We start from the raw sequence: 20,791 nt of genomic DNA, 5'->3' as shown, positions 1-20,791 counted from the left end.
ACTGAAACCTCTGCCTCCTGGGTTCAAGCAATTCTCCGCCTCAGCCTCCCGAGTAGCTAGGATTACAAGCGCCCGCCACCATGCCTGACTAATTTTTTTTGTATTTTTAGTAGAGATGGGGTTTCACCATCTCAGCCAGGCTGGTTGTTTTTCACTTTGATCACTCTACTGAATGGTTTTGTCTAACGGTATGGAATGGTTGCTGTATCTCTAACATTACATGGCATGTTTTCACTTTTCAAGTTATCTGACCTCTGGGCACGGTCAGGCATTTTATTTTTTTTAAATTACCATCTCCCTCCTTGGAAAAAACAGAAACATAAATACAATTGAAAAAAAATCAAATTTGACTTTCCTTTGTTATTATGACATCGAGGGTCCTGGATTTCCTACTTCTTTGATGACCGCATCTTTGTACTTTTACTCTTTCCTTCCAGCTATTAGAAACCCCACAGCTTGGACCCAGGCCCTTCTCCTGAGCTCTAGACTTCTATATTCATTTGGTAACTTGATAATTCTGCCAAGAAATCTCAAAGGAACACCAAATATGATCTCAAAGACAAACTACTTGAGCTTACTGGCTGTGAAACCTAATTTCTTCCTGAGTTCTTTATCCATCTATCTGTGCCAAAAAAGATGTCATTGACAACTTCCTCACCTTTGCTCCTATGCCATTCATCACTAAGTCCTGTCAGTCAATTGAACCTCCTAAATATCTTATAAAGTCACCAACTCCTCCCCTTTCTTACCCTTGATTAAATCAACTTCATATTTTCAAGTCTATTGTAACACCTTACTAAGTGATCTTTCTTTATTTGTGCTGGTTACTATATAAACTCTTCTCTACCTTGCAGCCAGAGTAATCTCAAAATGCATTCTAGTGGCTTGGGTGTTACCCAATAGCATTTAGAATAAAAATGAAAATCTTTAATATGGTTTACAGAAAACTGCTGGGTTTCCCTGCCTATTTCTGTAATCTAATCATACTGATCTTTTTTCAGTACCTTGAGTCAGGTACTTAAATATATCCCTTTCTCTCTTACATTCCCATGTACTTGTATAAAAGGCTCCTCTTTTTACAATATATCACAGCTTATCACAGTCCTCCTCCACCAACAACCACACACAAATGCATTTATTGCTTTCTTATTTACAGATCTTAGGTCAGGTGCTATTTCTTAAAATAATGTTTTCCCTGACCAGGTCAATTCCTTTTATTTTAGGCTCTTATTGAAACTTTATATATCCTATCTCTCTATTTGTGATCATTTAGTTTGTGTTTGTCTCTGCAACTATACAATGAACTCCGTGACAACAGCATCTCTATCCTATTTTAAATAGATTTTCTGGCGTAGTGCTTTGAACATGGTACATACTTAATTTGTTGGATGGATGGATGGATGGTTGAGAGGATGAGTGGATGAATGATGGAATTACCTTAATTGGCAAACATGAAATTCAGAATCATGCAAATGTGCAGAATTACCTAGACATTTATTTAAAAGAAGTAACTCTTATAATTAAGACATATATTTAAAATTAACTTCACTGTATTCTATAGAAGAAATTGGTTTGAAATTCCTCTGCACAATATTTGTGTGCTTCTGATCCATAATTTGATCTGACATGACTCAAGGCCCTGAATTCCTCAGCCTCATCTAACTTACTTTTAAAGAGCCAATTCTCATTTTTCCTTTGGCTTCTTCTACTTCTTTACTGCTGCTGACCCAGTTTTCTGCCTGATTTTGTTGTCTCTGTGCTATTCTGCCTCTCTTAGCCTACCACTTTGTCCTTCCTTCTGTTGTTTCTATAACTAGCAATGGTTAAGCACTTTCATGATTAATTTTTAATAAATGTATAATAAATTATAGATCTTTAAGTCACTTTATGACAGAATTTCCAGCATTTCTGCTGTATGAAGACCTAGTCCCAGTACTCATGCTGTTGTTCCTTTCTCTATCCTTCTCCATTCCCTGGCAAGTAAATCCAGCTAGAAGTCATAAAATCATTACAATATGTTTATTTTATTATGTCCTTACTAGTATTCAAATAGCACTCTTATTTATGTCATGTCACTCTTGTTTGTATTCTCTGTGACAACTCTTCCAAGATTATTCTATATGATTAAACTGCGTGCTTATTTTAATCTCAATCTTTTCAATCTTTTATTGTAGGAAATAGGATCACCTCTATTCCACTGATTACCCCCCTTTACGCTCAGAAAAGATTAAATTGATCTTATTTTTAATCCCCATTTTCAAATAGTTTCTCTGGATTTCTAGTTTCTCAATCTTAATCTTCATTCTTTGTTGTTTTTTTTTTTTTTTTGAAATGGAATCTCACTCTTTCCCAGGCTGGAGTCTGGAGTGCAGTGGCAAGATCTCTGCTCAATGCAAACTCCACTTCCTGTGTTCAAGTGATTTTCCTGCCTCAGCCACCTGCGTAGCCAGGATTGCAGGTGCCCATCACCACTCACACATGCAGCTAATTGCTGTGTTTTTAGTAGAGATCGGGTTTCACCATGTTGGCCAGGCTGGTCTCTAACTCCTGACCTTAAGTGATCTACCCACTTCAGCCTCCCAAAGTGCTGAGATTACAGGCATGAGCCACCGTGCTTGGCCTCAATCTTAATTTTCGTCAGAGAATAGGCTTCATCCTTTCCAAGGCTTACCACTCTCCATTTAAAATTTGGAACCTAACCCTTTCCTTGTCTGTTATGAATCTTTGTTGTTCATGGCATTCCATCTTATATATCTCATATGTATGTGGCATAGGTGTGTTTGTATGTGGCTAATGAACTTATCTTAAATTGAAGACAATTTAATCCCACAGAACGAGGTCCAGCTGCTCGTTCTTGTGGTCCAATAAGGAGATGCAGACTGGGAAGGAAGGGCAGTTTATTTCTGCAACTGATTATAAGGAGAAGGTCAGAGTAACTCACCAGACAAACTCAAAGTTACAAGTTATGTTTTTCAGTGCTTACATATATTCTAAGCTCTATGCCTACCTATGGGAGTGCACCTACTAGCGGAGTGTTTCATTCAATATATATCTAATCTTTAGGGTCTAGGATCCAGAAAGCTTTCTCTAGAGTTTTGGAAAGTTTGTTAATCTTAAGTGGGCCCTGGGATGAGGTGTATGTGTCAGAATGCTGTTATTATATTATTTGATCAGATTTTAGTGTCTGAAAAAACCCAGGCGGGGTCTTAATGGGTTTGTTTTCACACTCCAGCCTTGGTACTCAGGCACCAGTGTCTCTAGTTTTTTAATGTTTAACTTTTGCATTCATCAAAATTATAGTAAAGGGTTAGTGGAAACTGACTGTTCTGGTTGCTAATGGAAACCTGGCCTGCCACAATAGTAGAAATCAAAGTCATGCAAAGCATGGGATTATTCAGATATTTGTGTGTATATTTATGTATTGTTTTTTTTTAGAGATGGGGTCTTGTTATGTTGACCAGAATGGTCTCAAACTCATGGGCTCAAGTGATCCTCTTGCCTTGGCCTCCCATAATCCTGGAATTACAAGTATGAGCCACTGTGCCCTGCCTATTTATGCATATTTAATGTTGTTATTTCATTGCCAATTATTGCAATATTAAGCTTTTGTTATCTGACTTTTACTTTCAAATCCTACTAAAATTGCCCTTAAGAGTTCCCCAACACTTCCAGGTTGTATTCTTTTCTCATATTTCACTCTTCTGAAATTCCCTGTGGCATTTGACAGTGATAGCCAGCCTCTCCTTTATGAAAATATCTATCCTTTGTTTTTGTGAATCTGTAATCACCTAATAATATGGTTTGACTGTATCCCCACCCAAATCTCATCTTGAATTGTAGTTCCCATAATCCCCATGCACGATGGGAGAAACCCAGTGGGAGGTAATTGAATCATGGGGCAGTTGCCCCCATGCTATTCTTGTGATAGTAAGCTTTCATGAGATCTGAAGATTTTATAATGGGCTTCCTCCTTCACTAGGCTCTCATTCTTCTCCCTGCCACCATGTGAAGAAGGACATGTTTACTTCCCCTTCCACCATGATTGTAAGTTTCCTGAGTCCTCTCCAGCCCTGCAGAACTGCAAGTCAATTAAACCTCTTTTATTTTTTACCCAGACTTGGCAGTTCTTTATAGCAGTGTGAGAATGGACTAATACAGTAAATTGGTACTGGTAGAGTGGGGTGCTGCTATAAAAATACTCAAAAAATATGGAAGCAACTTTGGAACTGGGTAACAGTTAGAAATTGGAACAGTTTGGAGGGCTCAGAAGAAGACTAGAAAATGTGGGAAAGTTTGGAACTTCTAGAGACTTGGAGGGCTAGGAAGACAGGAAGATGTGGAAATGTTTGGAACTTCCTAGAGTCTTGTGGAATGGCTTTGACAAAAGTGCTGATAATGAAATGGACAATGAAGTCCAGGCTGAGGTGGTCTTAGATGGAGATGAGGAACTTGTTAGGAACTGGAGTAACAGTAACTTTTGCTCTACAAGGAGACTGGAGGCATTTTGCCCTTGCCTTAGAGATCTGTGGAATGTTAACTTGTGAGAGATGATTTAGAGTTTCTGGTGGAAGAAATTTCTAAGCAGCAAAGTGTTCAAGAGGAAGCAGAATATATTTAAAAAATGTAGAGCATGATGATGCAATAGAAAAGAAAACTCTATTTTCTGGGGAGAAATTCAAACTGGCTGTAAAAATTTTCATAAGTAATGAGGAGCCAAATGTTAATCACCAAGACAATGGAGAAAATGTCTCCAGGGCATATCAGAGACCATCATGGTAACCCCTCCCATCACAGGCCTGGAGGCCTAGGAGAAAAAAATGACTTCTTGGGCTGGGCCCCAGGGCCCATGACCTGAATGTGAGACATGAAGTCTAAGGAGATTATTTTGGAGCTTTAAGATTTAATTACAGCCTCGTTGGATTTCAGTATGCTTGGGGCCTGTAGCCCCTTCGTTTTGGCCTATTTCTTTCATTTGGAATGGGTGTATTTACCCAATGTCTGTACCCCCATTCCCCATTCTATCTAGGAAGTAACTAACTTGCCTTTGATTTTACAGACTCATAGGTAGAAGGGACTTGCCTTGTCCCAGATGAAACTTTGGACTGTGGACTTTTGGGTTAATGCTGGAATAAACTAAGACTTTAGGGGACTGTTGGAAAGGCACAACTGTGTTTTGAAATGTGAAGACATGAGATTTTGGAGGGTCCAATGGCAGAATGATATGGTTTGGCTATGTCCTCACCCTAGTCTCATCTTGAATTGTAGTTCCCATAACCCTCATGTGTGATGGGAGGAAGCTGGTGAAAAGTAATTGAATCATGGGGGCAGTTTCCTCCATGCTATTCTCATGACAGTAAGTTCTCATGAGATCTGATGGTTGTATAAGGTGCTTCCCCCTTCACTAGGCTCTCATTGTTCTCCTTCCTGCTGCCAAGTGAAGAAGGACGTGTTTTCTTCCCCTTTCACCATGATTGTAAGTTTCCTGAGGCCTCCCCAGTCCTGTGGTACTGTGAGTCAATTAAACCTCTTTCCTTTATAATTTACCCAGTCTCAGGCACTTCTTTATAGCAGTGTGAGAACAAACTAATACACCTGACATTACCCTTCTTTCTTCACCACCAAATATCATTCCTCTCTATTGGCTCTCATTCCCATTTTCTCCCCACCAAACTGAGCATTCTTTATAAGTAAGTAATATTATTTGGATATTTGTCCCCCAAAAATCTCATGTTGAACTGTAATGCCCAATACTTGAGGTGGGCCTGGCAGGAAATGTTCAGGTTATGGGGACAGATCTCTCATGGCTTAGTGCTGTCCTTGCAACAGTGTGTGAGTGCTTCTGAGATCTGGTTATTTAAAAGTGTGTGGCACCTCCCCCTTACCTTTCTCTTCTGCTCCTGATATTGCCCTGTGATTGACAGTTCTCCCTCTGACTTCCACCATGACTGTAAGATTCCTGAGGCCTCATCAGAAGCCAAGCAGCTGCCTGGCACTGTACTTCCTCTACAGCTCATGGAACCGTGAGCCAATTAAACTTCTTTTCTTTATAAATTACCCTGTCTCAGATATTTCTTTACAGCAATGCAAGAGCTGTCTAACATAGTGAGGATTTCTTCCATTTATTTTTTTCTCTTAATGTTGTTTTCTTAAACTCACACATTTGGATTAGTCTTTGAGAGCTTTTAAGAATTTTACATTACTCCCATATCTTCCTTTTCTAACTAACTGTAACATATATTTGAATGTGTTGTTCAAGCCTCAAACACGTTGTATCTAAAACTTAAATATCTTACAATTCCAAGTCCTGCCACTTCTTAACTATTTTATTTCTGAAAGGACTGAATTACTTTTTAGGGCATTAGAATCGAATATTTGGGGACGTCTTCAACTCCTCCTTTCTCCCTTACAGGCAACCAATGAGTTCTGGTAATTATGTGCTTGCAATTTCCTTTATATATACTATTCACATTCCCATTTACATTGTTTAAGTTTTCATTATTTCTTATACACATGGATACTCTGTAAACAAACAGCTCTGCAATTGATTCTCTTTATTTCACTCTTTCCTTATTTTAATCCATCCTAGATTGCAAATCAGATAAATCTTTCTAAAATGTACCTTTAATATGCCAGCTCCACTGCTTAGGAAAAAAAATTCATTAATGATTTTTCCTTGTCAATGAAGAAAATACAGACTCTTCAGCCTGGTTAATAAAGCGCCAAGCTAATGTTCCTTTGTTATTTACCCTCATCCCATTATACCTGCTTTTTGCTTCCAATTACACTACTCCCAGTTCTACGGACACACTATGCCTCATATGCCATCCTCATCAATCTTAGACTTTAAAGTATATCTTAAGAAGTGTCAGTAAATCCATTTTATCCCAGAACTGTAAAACCTGCTTAACAAAAATTAATAACCTCCCCCTTTGCTATTCTAGGCCCTTTGTTTGTAGAAGCACTTGTAATACTGTATTGAGTTATTGTATAATTATCCGTATTCCTAATTACACTGTAAAGCTTTGAAAGCTGAAACTAATATTTACTCAACTTTGTATTTCAATTACTATCCAGCTTAATGGCTATTACAAAGAAGGCATTTAAATAAATATTTTAAAAATGAATTTTGTTAGTTAGAATTGGGTTAGTTAGTATTTTTGTTTACTGAAGAAGAATCTTTTGTGCCTAGTATCAATCTTACAAGTGGATTAGCTAAAAACTGCAAGATATTTTTTGCTGGTATATACCTAAAGAAGATATTACTAAAAGATTTGATGAGTTTTACACCTATCAATTCTTTTTAAAATGAAAATATTATTATAGCTAATATGTATAAAGCCCTTACTGTTCTTAGTGCTTTAAGCATATTAATTCATTTAATCCTAACAATAACCTGATGAGTGAAGCATTATTATTGCCATCATACATTAGAAACCTGAGATATGAAGACATTTAGAGACTTATCCATTGCTATGATTTGCATGTGTGTGTCCCTACAAAATTCATGTGTTGGAACTAACCTTCAAGATGATGTTATTAAGAGGTGGGGCCCTTGGGAGGTGCTTAAGCCATGAGGACTCTGCCCTCATGGATTCAATGAGTGCCCTTATAACAGGGCTTGAGGCAGAGAGGTGGTTCTTTTTACTATTCATTGCCCTTCTGCCATGTGAGGACACACAGCATTTAACCCTTTGTCATGTGAAGACACAGCAATTAGGTGCCATCTTGGAGGCAGATTGAATCCCCTTACCAGACTGTGAATCTACTGGTGCCTTGATCTTGGATTATCTTTCCTTTAGAACTGTGAGAAATAAACTTGTATTATTTATAAATTATCCAGTTTGTGATACTTTGTTGCAGTAGGAAGAACAGACTGAGACATCCATAGTCACAGGGTTAATTAAGTAATGAATTTAGGATTCAAACTAGGATTTAAATTTATGTGACTTCTCTCTTTATTAAGTTGCCTAGAATGAATAACATTTTTCATTTGTAAGATAGGTCCACCCACAAAACTATTTTCTTACCATTGAAATGTTGCCATTAGATTGAGTAATGCCTAAAAGTATATTAGATTGAGTAATGCCTAAAAATATACATAAATGCCAGAGCATTTGAGTCAGTGGCTTCAGTGGACTAACAGCCTCCCTTCCTTGTATTCTTGTGTGCTAATTAATGTATAAAATGAATGCCACATGAACTAACATATTTTAAGAGTACCAGTTATATAACAAACACAGTATTATTCTACTTTGGTAACTTGATACTGGTCATTCAATGTCTTTAGTATAATGTGCACTTTTTCTCTTAATATTTTAGCTTATTCACATAAAGATTAATTTAAAAAACATTCATGTTGTTTGCTTTAAATCCTCTTGACTATTTGTGTTGAGAACAGACTCATTTATTGTACATTCTATTGTCGATTACCTGTTCTCCATTATGATTTTCTTTTCCTTGACTCACTTGCAAACTAATAAGACAATAAAATCAGGATTGATATAAAACCAGTAGCAGCATCCATTTCACTTTAATAATATATTTAAATATAAAGCAAAAAATGAATATCTACATACTATATGAACTTAACTCTTTAAAAACACACAAAATGAAACATTGCACATTTCTGATCTTATGTGACTTCATGAAGACTTATGATTTCTGATTAATGACTAATCAGAATAATTTTGTAATGGGAGCTTGGTATCATCTTGAAGCACCTGGCTCTACTTTTATGGATAGTCATAGAATCTCTGCTGTACATGGTTTATGACCTTAATCTCACATTTTGAGAGAGAGTGCTGGACTTAAAATACTGTATTTTGATTCTTCACATTTGTGATGTTCTCTTTTGTAATCCTAAAATGAGCATGATGTTCCGATATGTGTTTCCAAGTTCTAACTCTTCATGTTGAACATCCAAGTAATAGGCATATATTATAGACAGGTCTTGTTTTGCATCTTTCTGTGGTAACTGAGATCAATGTGAAATCATACTTCTTATATGCCCTCCCAAAAAAAGACATGTCCATGTCCTAATCCCTGAAACTTGTGAATAGTGTCTTTTTTTTTTTTTTTGGTAAAAGGGCCTTTGCAAACTTAAGCATTTCCAGATCAGGAGATCATCCTGGATTATCCAACAGGGCCCTAAATACAATGGTAAATGTCCTTATGAGAGAGGCAGAAGGAAATTTGAAACAAAAAGAATAAGGAAAGACACAGAGAAGAGGAGGAGGCAATGGATCATGGAGGCAAAGCCTGGAGTAATATGGCTGCAAGAAAAGGAATGCAGAGAGCCACCAGGAGCTGGAGGAGACAAAGAACACATGGAGACTCCAGATAGAGTGCAGCCCTGTGAACGGCTTTAATGTGAACATCTGGCATCAATAATTATGAGAGGATGAATTTCTATGGTTTAAGTCACCAAGATTGTGATAATTTGTGATGGAAGCCACAGGAATCTAATATAACAAAGATTGTCTGTATTTTTAATTATGCAATGCCATCTTTTACTTTTTCAATCTAGGCCTCTATATGATGTCCATACACTGTTTCATATAATATTGAATTTGTAATACTTATTTAAATATTCTCAGTCTATGTGAAAGAAATTCCATAATTCACTAAGATAGGTATTTTGGTATTGAGAAGATCCTTTAAAATTTCTTTTCAGGCAGGCATTATACATTTTGTTAGCTAGTTTGCTTGTTTAGGTGGAAGACAGAGGGAGAACTAGCCATAATATCTGATTTCTAAATCAAGTCTCATTGCCAGCTTCTTGCCTCTAGGCTAAACATTCCCAATTACTTTAAGCTTTTCTAATTGGCAATATTTCCAAATATTTATTTGTTATTTTGCTCTTCTTTGATCAATTGATTGGCTCTTTACAGAAATCATTCTGAAATTCATATTCATAGAATGTCAAGCATTTCAGAATCCACTCTAATCACTGTCTTGGGTATGCCCTCCGTTAATCTTATTTTTTGGTAGTATACAAATATACTATACCCCATCTAAAATATATTGATCACCAGTCATGTGGATTGATCACATTTGTTTCTCTCCTAGTTTTCCCAATGCTTACTGAAATATCGCTGTGAAAAAGATGAAAGCCAAAGACAAGAATGGGAGAGATATCTGTTGACAAAGACTTTATACACTTTTGACAAATAAATGTAGCTAGCAGGAGGAGGAAGATGTAGAATAAAGTATACTCACATTGATGTGAATAAGAAGAAAGTTAATTAGACTCACCAAATCCCAGAGATGTTCCCGTCACAAAGATGCTACTTAAAACAGAGAACGGGCAAGTTAAATGATTTAACATGAGGGTTGTTGAAAGTCAATATTTGGAGGAGCTCATGTTTTCTCTTCTATTGCTCTATGCACGGAATAATAGCACCAAAATGTCTACATCCCCTCTTTAATTACAAATAATGGGGGGTCTCAAATAGAGATGCCAAGTAGGGACTGAAGGAAGAATTTGCGGTGCAGGGGTTAAAATAGAGAAAAAGTGCTAGTTTAATACCCGAGAGTTAACTTCTAAGACCCACACTGTCAATTCCCAAACAAAATGCTAGCAGCCTGCTTTCTACCCTTTACAGAGTTTCTGAGCAAACAGAAATCTGTAGAATTCCCCCAGATAAACAGCACACGTTTTTTGCCAGTCATTTTTGATATAAACCTTCCTTCCTTCTCCAGAATTTCCAATCAGTTTTTACTGTTTCCTTACTAAATATAATTGTTGAGCCAATGATTATTAGACATTTGAAAAAATCCTTGAACATGAGCAATGGAGATAACAAAGCAAACAAACAGAAAAATGTAAAACTAAAAGAAATGCTCCTTTACAGGACAAAAGAAAATTTCCATCCTCGCTAACTCAAAACATTTAAGAAAATCCAATTCTTATATATCTCAGAGTGTATGAGAAAATTGTATACATTGAAAATAATACAATGCTATTTAAAATAACAAGAGTGAGTTATTGAAAGTTCAAAAAAAATGGTTAATTTTTTAAATCCATCAAAAAGTTTTGATAAAAAATAAATCTCTCAGAAAATAGAACAGAAAGGCAGTAACAGCAAATAGGATAACACAAAATTTTTTAAAAAACTAAGAAAAGTGAAAATCTATGTGAGTCAATGTTAAAAGAACTGAATAGAGAAAAATAAATGAAGGTAACTAGCACAATATCATAGAAATTTCCCCGGAATTGAGGTATCTCAGTCACATGAATGAATGAACCCACTGAGAGGTCAGTGAAATCAACGAAATACACTCATCTTAAACACATTATGTGAATTTTCAAATGTCTAGTAAAAAATGAAGACAGTTAAAACCTCCTGGGGTGAGGATGGGGCCCCAGGTAGGAAGAGAGACAAGCAGCACTGGACTATCCTTTCAAAAGCAAACTTGGGTGCCAGAAACAGGAATAATCATTTGACATTCTGATTGAAAGATATTTGCAATAAAGAATTCTATGCACAGGCCAGGCACGGTGGCTCATTCCTGTAATCCTAGGAATCTGGGAGGTTGAGGTGGGTGGATCACTTGAGGCCAGGAGTTGGAGACCAGCCTGGCCAACATGGTAAAACAGTCTCTACAAAAAATATGAATGGCTGGGCCTGGTGGCACACGCCTGTAATCCCAACTACTCAGGAGACTGAGGTGTGAGGATTGCTTGAGCCTGGGAGGTCGAGGCTGCAGTGAGATGTGATCACAAAATTGAACTCCAGCCTAGGGGGTGACAGAATGAGACCCAGTCTCAAAAAGAAAAGAAAAGAAAAAAGACATTTTAAGATATTAAGGTCTTTTGAAATTTACTTCCAGCATACATTTTCTTGGTCAGCTACAGAAAGAAATGTTCCCATCAAATGAATGAGTACTCTACAGGTACAACTAAAACAATAGGTAACATTCATTGTGTACTAGGTGTTGTTCCAAGAGCCTTACATTTACGAAATCATGTAATTTTTAGAAAAGCCTTGTAAAGTAGGTATTATTAGTCTCATTTACAAACGGGGAAAAAAAAACTGAGACACAAAGGAGTTAAGTGCCTTTTAAAGGTTATACACAGATATTAAGTGGCCAGGCTAGAATTGGAGTCTGAGCAGCCTGGTTCTAGAGTTCACGCTCCTCACTACTGTCAGTTCCTCCTGGGAGTCACAGTGCCTGCTCTCGATTCCTCCCAAGAGTTACATAGAGGGAGGGAGAAAAAAACCCAGAAACCCCAGGATGACAACTCTTCATTAGGCCTAGGGATAATAAATTATGATGCCACAGGGAAGAGAACAGAGATTTGTCTTCAAATAAACCCAGTGTTTTGTTTTTCAACAAAAATGATAGATGATTAGATGCAAAAGATACAATCACTGGAAGAATAGAAATCTTTGAAGCTATGATAAAGCAAAATATGGAAAAATAGGAAATGGAAATTCTGGGAGAAAAATCTGCATAAAAGATCCAGGCATAGATCATTGTTTTGCTCTTAATTATGTAAAGGCTAAAATATCACTTCTTCACTTCACAGAGAAAAACTGAGAATCAAATGTATCAAATACTGCATTCAAAGTCACTACAGGTAGAGAGTGATATAGTGACGAGGGAAACAAGGCTGTCTTCCTCCAATGTCTGAACTTTTACAACCATAATAGCAAATGGCTCATATTCCAAGAATGGTAGGGAAGATTTTCCTTATGAGTATACAGACTTCCATTTTTCATTCTAGAAAGCAAAAATGTGTTTGCTGACTGGGTGGTAAGTCCTACGTGGCAAATCCAGAGTTGCCTGTTCTTCTAGAAGGTCTTGTGTCCTACCCAAAAGGGGTAGGAAATATCATAAGAAACACCAAATCTTCCAACCCCTAACCATTCTTTTGATACATGATAGTTCAACACTAACAACCAAAAACTGAAGAATTTGAGGATGAAAGTAGTGTTTTCATCTTCTTCCAGCTGAAGTTCATAACTTTCAATAGAAACCTGTTCGTAAGTTAAAGAACTGGCTGTAAATAGGTAAACAATGAAAAAACTAATATTTAGGGGACAATTACTATGATTAAAAGACTTTTTACTTATCTACTAACTGTTTTGTGATAACACTATTATCTTCATTTTACATGATAATCTGCAAGTTCTCAACGTGTACATGATTCGCTAAAAATAAATGGTAAAATTTGACCTTAGGCCTTTAAGTTTGAAGCTGATGTTCTGAACCACTTTGCTCTTTTTATGCCAAGAACTTTCACTTTATTAGACTGCAGTGAAAACTAATTTTGGTAATTTATTGCTAGGATATAAAACAATGTCCAATAATAGTATGGTTGAGAATGAAGACTAGAAAGCCAAATTATCAGCTTCTGCATGCTTTTATTCTCTGAAATAGTGCACTATTTATTTTTGTCTCAGAAGAATGGTATCTATAACCCACAGAAAATTAGACAATCAAATGTAAGCATCTCTGTTTCACTTATGCAACAGAAATACAATGTGGCAAGTACGGTTAAACCAAGGAATCCTCCTCCTGTAGAAGGAAAACTATTAGGAGTGTTCATATAGGTTAGGACAGAAACATAGGTTAGGACAGTGTTCATATAGGTTTCATGGACAGAAAACAAGGGCTGAATTTGGATTTCATGGTTTGTGAAAAATGATTGGAAAAAGTCTGTGTAACTATCAGTGGGACTACAGCTCATTTAAATTTTCCCACCTAGGGAATGGGAAGAAGTAGACATAGCTCAATGGTCAAGATCTGGGCCAAACCACGACTAACTCCATGAGTGGTGGAGCAAGATGGAGAAAACCACTGAGCTACTAGACAACAATGGGTGAGTGCTGGGGAGAAAACCAAACCAATAAGCTCTCACCCCAAATCAGGCTATGACATCAGATTCTGATATTTATCAAGAAAACTAATGCCAAGAATAATCACCAACATCAAACTTCAGGAGATGGATTTATTCCAGATAAATGAAAAATAAAATAGAATAATCTGGAAATGAATTAAAAATAAATCTGTCAACGAGGGTTCAAGAAATAAAGACAAAATGACATCCACAAAAGAAGACAATATTACGAAATGAGAAAAGAAATTTTCAGAAATAAGAGAAGATGAAGAAACAATTACAATTTCTGGAGGTGAAAATTTATTCAAAGAAAGGGACGAAGTTTGCATAGAAGACACAATTTACATCTATCTTCATTGCAGTGAAAAAAGAATTAAAGTCCCATATTTTTGTATGTTTTGGTTCATTAGCATTATTAATAGCACGAGGGAAGGCATTATGTTAATAAACCAAAATAAGAAGGAACAATAAGTGCCTTAATTCATGTAGAATAAAGATAACAAAAATTTCAAATCATGACTTTTTACATCTTTTCATTTTTTATTAAATGAAAAGTAGATTAAAGGCATGACATAGTGGTATGTGTGACTTTTTATACTTATCTGACAGGTAATCACAATTTCTCTGTAAACTTTTTTATCCATATATTTGAAAACACTAGTTTTTATGAGATGTTATAGAATAAAATGTATGGGGACAATAAAAATTAATAACTTAATCCTCATGCCTGGATGTTTTTGTTCTCTGCATTCTAAAATATTTGTTGGCTTTCATAATGGTAGTACCTAAGTAAGAGAGTCAAACAATGGCAATAGAAGAGAGAAAAGTCTTTTGATAACAGGTCACAGTTATTTTTTCACCTTTTGTTTCCTACATTGTGAGTGCCTAAACCCTAGCAAGTGTGTAAACATATTTCTTGGAACACTTGAAATTGTTGCTATGATCTATCCCTGAATCAACTATTTTTTCTATTTGCAGTGTAAACATTTTAATTATAATTCAAATTATATGATACAACCATGTAGCAGTAAACAAAGAACTAATTTATGTTCTTTCTGCACTGATCATTTGTTGATTAATTGGTTTCTTTATGAGACACCAAGTAACTCTTCTAAATACAAACCTCCTGAGGATATAAAGGTTAATTTTAAAGTGATTACAAATATTGCAGTAACATTATAATTAATAGTTACATTTGTAATGCAGAAGCCTTCTCAAATACCAATAAATAACCTCTGTAAATTAGTACTGATAGTAGGCATCCTTTAGGATGCTTTTGCATGATTCCTTTCAGTCATTCAATTGAGTTTTGACATGAAACAGAATCAAATATTAAAACCATAATTATTCTGAAACCATGTCTTTGTGTGTGTGTGTGTGTGTGTGCATGCACACATATGAGAAAGCAACATAACACACACACACACACATATTGTGTCTGTGCATGCTGCTAATTCACACTCTCAGCCTGGGCCTAAACTATGCAAACTGCTGAGACTGGACATATTTTACAATAATTCATTAAGTCATGGTGAAGAAGACCACTTATATGAGGGACACAGGAGCCTAAGCCTCTGAAGAGAGAATTTTACCTACAGGCTGAGAGATTACCTTTTCACAAAACATGAATGAATGAATGAATGAATCTGAGAAAAACTGGGTATTTACCATTCCACTATGTTTCTGACTTCACCTTAAATGGATTTATACATACATATTTGGAAGGGAAGGGTCTGTTCTGTTAAAACTGGAGTGTTTTTTTTTCTTCCACTAAAATTTCTGAAAGTCCTTGCAATTCTAAAGTAACATTGACTGGAATTCACTTTATTGTTTCAGTTATTTGTGGTAATTGTTAAACGTATTACATGGCAACTTTTATTCTAATAGGTAAATTACTAGAGTTTGGTACTGATTTAGATCTTGTATAGATCTAAACTGTTTGTCTTGTATAAATCTTAACTGTTTTAAGGTATTTTAACAATCATCTAACTTTACATATCAATATACTTTCTTGAATGATAAGAAATAATTCAACAATTATGATCAGAAACTTGGCATAATCCACTGCCTATTTTATCAGTACCATAGCCCGTATTGTTTATGATTAATAAAGACAATATTTATATTTGATTGCTGGGCTTTCAAGTTGTGATTGTAGGGTTATTTATCTTTTAAGTGTTATTAATGTGTAAATTGTTAGAAAGGAAACAAAAATTGTTTATAAGCATATGATGTAATTAAATATCTACTGAGATGTCCGACTGGCATGTCAAATCTAGTAAGTCCAAGCTACATTTATGATTATCTCCATCAAACTTCCTTCTGCAAATTTTCCTCATTTTAGTTGTTAGTAAATCCATCCTTCTACATTTCCAAGTCAAAAACCTGAGATAGAGTTCTTTCTTTATTTCAATTTATTATCTATCTTCGTATATTACATCATAAGTATTTTTGAATCTAACATCTAATATGTCATCTAATTCTTTCAGCTGTAACTTAAAAATATATTCAAGAATCCAAGCACTTCTCACCACTTACATGACTACACCCCTTGATCAAGCTGTCATTACTTTCACTTAGATCATAGCAAAAACCTAATAACACTCCCTATTTGTGCCTTTGCCCTTCTTCAATCTGCACTCAATCTAGCATCTACAGTGACATTTTCAAATGTATGTCTGATTATCTTTCTTCTTTGTTCAAAATTCTCACATCTTCAAGTGTATTTATGAGTGAAAGCCAAAGCCCTTCCCTTTGACCGAAAAGGCCCTGCAAGATCTTGCCCTTCGTTGCTTCTCCCTGAACTCATCTCCACTTCTCTCTCCCTTTCCCTCATCTGCTCCAAACACACTAGTCTTCTTACCATTTTAATGAGAACACATGGACACAGGAAGGGGAACATCACACACCGGGGATGGTTGTGGGGTGGGGGGAGGGGGGAGGGATAGCATTAGGAGACATACCTAATGTAAACGATGAGTTAATGGGTGCAGCACACCAACATGGCACATGTATACATATGTAACAAACCTGCACGTTGTGCACATGTACCCTAAAACTTAAAGTATAATAATAATAAAAGAAAGAAAAATCACTCAAACAAGCTCCTGTCTGAAAAGTTAATGTTTTCAAATGACCACTTTATTTAAAATTGCATCCTGTCCCCCTTCCAAACCAATTATTCATATCTACCTTCTGAGCTTCATCATTTCCTCCTTGGCACTTATATTAGATATACATTTTATTGTCTGGTTTCCCTCTGTCTCTTTCCAAAAACATACAATCAGGGAAGGCAGGACATTTTGTTTCTTTTATTTCTAGTAAAGATTGCCTAGCACAGAGTAAATGTTCAAAAATGTTTTTGAATAAAAAAGTATCTTATATTTTCTTGAAATTATTTTCTTAAGTAAATAAATGATGGTTACATTGGCTAAATTAAAACTATCAAATGAATGGTACAAGTGAAAGCAGCAATGGTACCATTTATTAGGTTTAAAAATCAATAAACTCTCTATATTATAATTTTAATGATAGTGTACATTTTAATTTTTTTCAGTTCTGTATACCTAGTCACCTTATTGATGTTATCTGCAGAATCTAGAAAATATTAAGGTTTAGTAAAATAAATTTTAATGTATGATATTAGCTACACTTATTTTTATCTACAGAATACAAATTTTTGATCTCTCTAAATTTTTCATTTAATTATTTCCCTGTTAGTAAAACTACTTTTATAAGTAAAGACAAAGTAGCTATTTTTTAATTATTTCCCCACAAAAGAGTATTTTTTTTTGTTTAATCAATATGTGGATACGCCCATGAGAGCATGTCATGTATTTGCATATGATCAGCCATTTGTATATCACGGTAAGGTATTTCATGATGCATTCTCCTTCTGCCACCATCACCACAATTTGAAAGAAGAAAATTATGCCATTATCATCTCAAGTATTGAGGATGAATGGGCATTATTCTGCTCTGCAAATCCCAGCCATCTTGACCTCTGAACTCCAAATTCTGACTCCTTAACTCAGGGAAATCATGGGGTTCTGTTTGGGCTCTCCCTCCCAATTACCAGAAAATTAGCTGATGTAATTATAGCCTTTACTTTGATTGTTTCCCTTTTCTCAGGGACCATGATGATGCACTGCTGTTGTTCAATACCAGAAAACTGTTGTTCCTTATGGGTTTTCTTATTGTTTATGATGAGAGGCTAAATTGGGTCCCTGTCATACTTTCTTGGCTGGGTATGGAAGTTGTTGATCATTAAGTTAATAAAGTGCAGGTGGCTGTCATTTAAGTATAAGCACACTAGATCTGTGACAAAATAAAAGCTGGATTTATAAGAAGTCCAAGGGCTAATAAGATATGTGTAGCACTAGAAAAATACGAAATTTTTTTTCAAAGTGACAAGTTCAGAAATTATGTATAGGTTTTCCGAGCACCCATGTTCATGCCCTTCCTATTGTCTTACATATCTCTTGGTTTCCCTGTCTTTTTTGTATAATAGGAATAAATGTTAGGCTATGCCATATATGAAATTATGATTGAACACCACTTTGATACTATCTATGTAATGTGAAAGTAACTTGCCTTTTCTGGTTTTACCTTTCTTACAGGTACAATGGAGTACACTGTCCTCTTTCTCTTTTATTCTTAAATTGGGCAAAGTTGTAGTGAAGCTAAAGTGATATATTTACAGCACTTTGAAAAACATAAAGTCATACAGGAATGCAATTGACCATTTCCGGAAATATTGGGACTTTAGTGTTTCTTCCAAGCAAAGTGACCAGAGAATGCAATCCTTGCATTAGGAAAAAATATTCTTAGGCAATCCAAATATATTTTAGGCAATCCAAACTTTTATTTCAAAGTATCCTCTTACCTCTTTTTGCACCCCTATAAAGCAATTTCAACTTGTCAGAATCCTATGTGGTTCTGGTGGTCTTTGTAAGGGAAAGGATTATCTAGTGATTGCCTGGCTTTAGAATCCCATCACAAGAAAGCAGACAGTCAGCAGGTATGTCCATAGCTTGCAGCTTTTTTCTTAACAGTAGTCATGTGTGCTTTTTGCTGATAACTTCAATATTTAATTCTGTTCATAAAAATGCCATGTTTCCTGTGTTTGATGTCATAATTTTGCTAATACCACAACTCTCATCTTAGACATTTTGTGAGTTTGTTTTCAGAAGAGAGAATGATTAAAGGAAGAATCAAAATGTTTTGTTTTCTGAGAATAGAGGTCTACTTTCTCTTGCTACTTACAGGACAGTTGGAAGTAGTGATTCTCTCCATTATGTGACATAACAGCTCAGAAGTTAAACTAATCTTAAGTGCAAGCAGGCATGAGACAGTTTAACACAAAATCTGATGAAGCTGAAAGTGAAAATATCAAAGTTGCTGTCCGAGGGATATTAAATAAATAATTCTCTGTAAGAAAAGGGTAGTTTCATTGCAGTTCTCAGCCTCTCAGTTATTTTCTTTTATTTACGATACAGGGAATTCTAAAAAACTCCACTGACTACAGTATCTCAGAGAAGTAGGTTTGAGCATAGCATGTCCACTATAGAGGAGATCAAACCTTTAATATTTCAATATTTTCCAGTCTTGGTTGTTTGTTTGCTACTGTGTGTATCTTTGCTTTGGAGGCTACTTAGAGTGCATATCACTAAAACTATATAAATCATACTCTGTAATTTAATGCCTAAAAATTGAACCATTATGAGTAGCTAGCTTATATGTAAAAAGGAGGCCAAATCCATATTAAAAACTACAGTGTGTTATAACTTCTAAAACTTGGGTTTTGGAATTACTTATGTGACTTCTCCCTCATCCCCCAACAAAATTTCTCTGATAAATTCTTAGATTTCTTATGCAGCATTTCACATGTACTGGAAACTGGATTCATTCAGGTTCCTCCCTCTCGGCCAGTCCTGGAGAACCTTATGATGGCATTGTTTCCACAAACACAATGCTGTCCTGCCATGTGCCATGCCAGGTATGTACTCCTGCCTCCCGGACTCTTTTTTCTTTTGTAGCCAGCTTGAGCACTCTGCATGCCATAGGTACCCAAGGGTTTCTGTTAGATTTGGCACAAAAAGGCTCTTTTTCTAGCTCTGTGTTTCTCTGTATCTTTTGGGCCCCAAAGCAATACTATGTGACATAGCTCCTTTAACTTCTGCTCTAACTTGTCTTGTGGTTGGCAGAGTTCTAAATGGTCTCCAAGATTCTTGCCAGCTATGGTACATGCTCTATGTGACCTCCTCCATTTGAGTGTGGGTGGCCACAGGATGCGATACTGACTCCCATGATTAGTTATATTATATGGTCAAGTGAAGGAATTTTTGCAGACTTAACGTCCCAAATCAGCAAATTTTGAGTTAACCAAAAAGGAGATTATGCTGAGTGGTCTTACTTAATCAGATGAACCATCTAAAAGAGGATCAAGAATTCAGACACTCTCCTGCTGTCTTTGAAGAACTAAGCCTCCCCGAGTTCTGCAGTGGCAAAGAAATAAATTCTGCCGGCAACCATGTAGCTTTGAAGAGAACCCTGAGCCTCAGATGAGACCCTAGTCCCTACTAACACCTTGATCTCAGTGTTGGGAGAACACAAGGAGAGATCTCATTCAAGCTGTGCCTGGAGAATAAGAAAGTCCTGAATAATTATGTCCAGAGTGATGCATTTTATTTGGCCCATATATGAATTACTTAATACTTAAAATATATTTTATTTTATAGAATATAATTGCCAACTAATATTTTTTCTGCATCTCACTCATAGGTGGGAATTGAACAATGAGATCACATGGACACAGGAAGGGGAATATCACACTCTGGGGACTGTGGTGGGGTGGGGGGAGGGGGGAGGGATAGCACTGGGAGATATACCTAATGCTAGATGACACATTAGTGGGTGCAGCGCACCAGCATGGCACATGTATAC

The 20,791-nt window shown here is 36.0% G+C and overlaps 1 annotated feature.

Moving 5' to 3' along the window:
* Window positions 2,280-2,781: an enhancer, noted in NCBI's record as "NANOG hESC enhancer chr12:61785065-61785566 (GRCh37/hg19 assembly coordinates)". NCBI's record gives its function as "activates a minimal SCP1, AML or CMV promoter by ChIP-STARR-seq in naive H9 embryonic stem cells {active_cell/tissue: H9 hESC(naive)}" and the evidence as "EXISTENCE:reporter gene assay evidence [ECO:0000049][PMID:30033119]".

This window comes from Homo sapiens, chromosome 12, assembly GCF_000001405.40.
Source record: "Homo sapiens chromosome 12, GRCh38.p14 Primary Assembly".
NCBI classification, from domain to species: Eukaryota; Metazoa; Chordata; class Mammalia; order Primates; family Hominidae; genus Homo; species Homo sapiens.
Note: the sequence above shows the minus strand (reverse complement) of the source record. Positions and strands in the feature narration are given on the sequence as shown.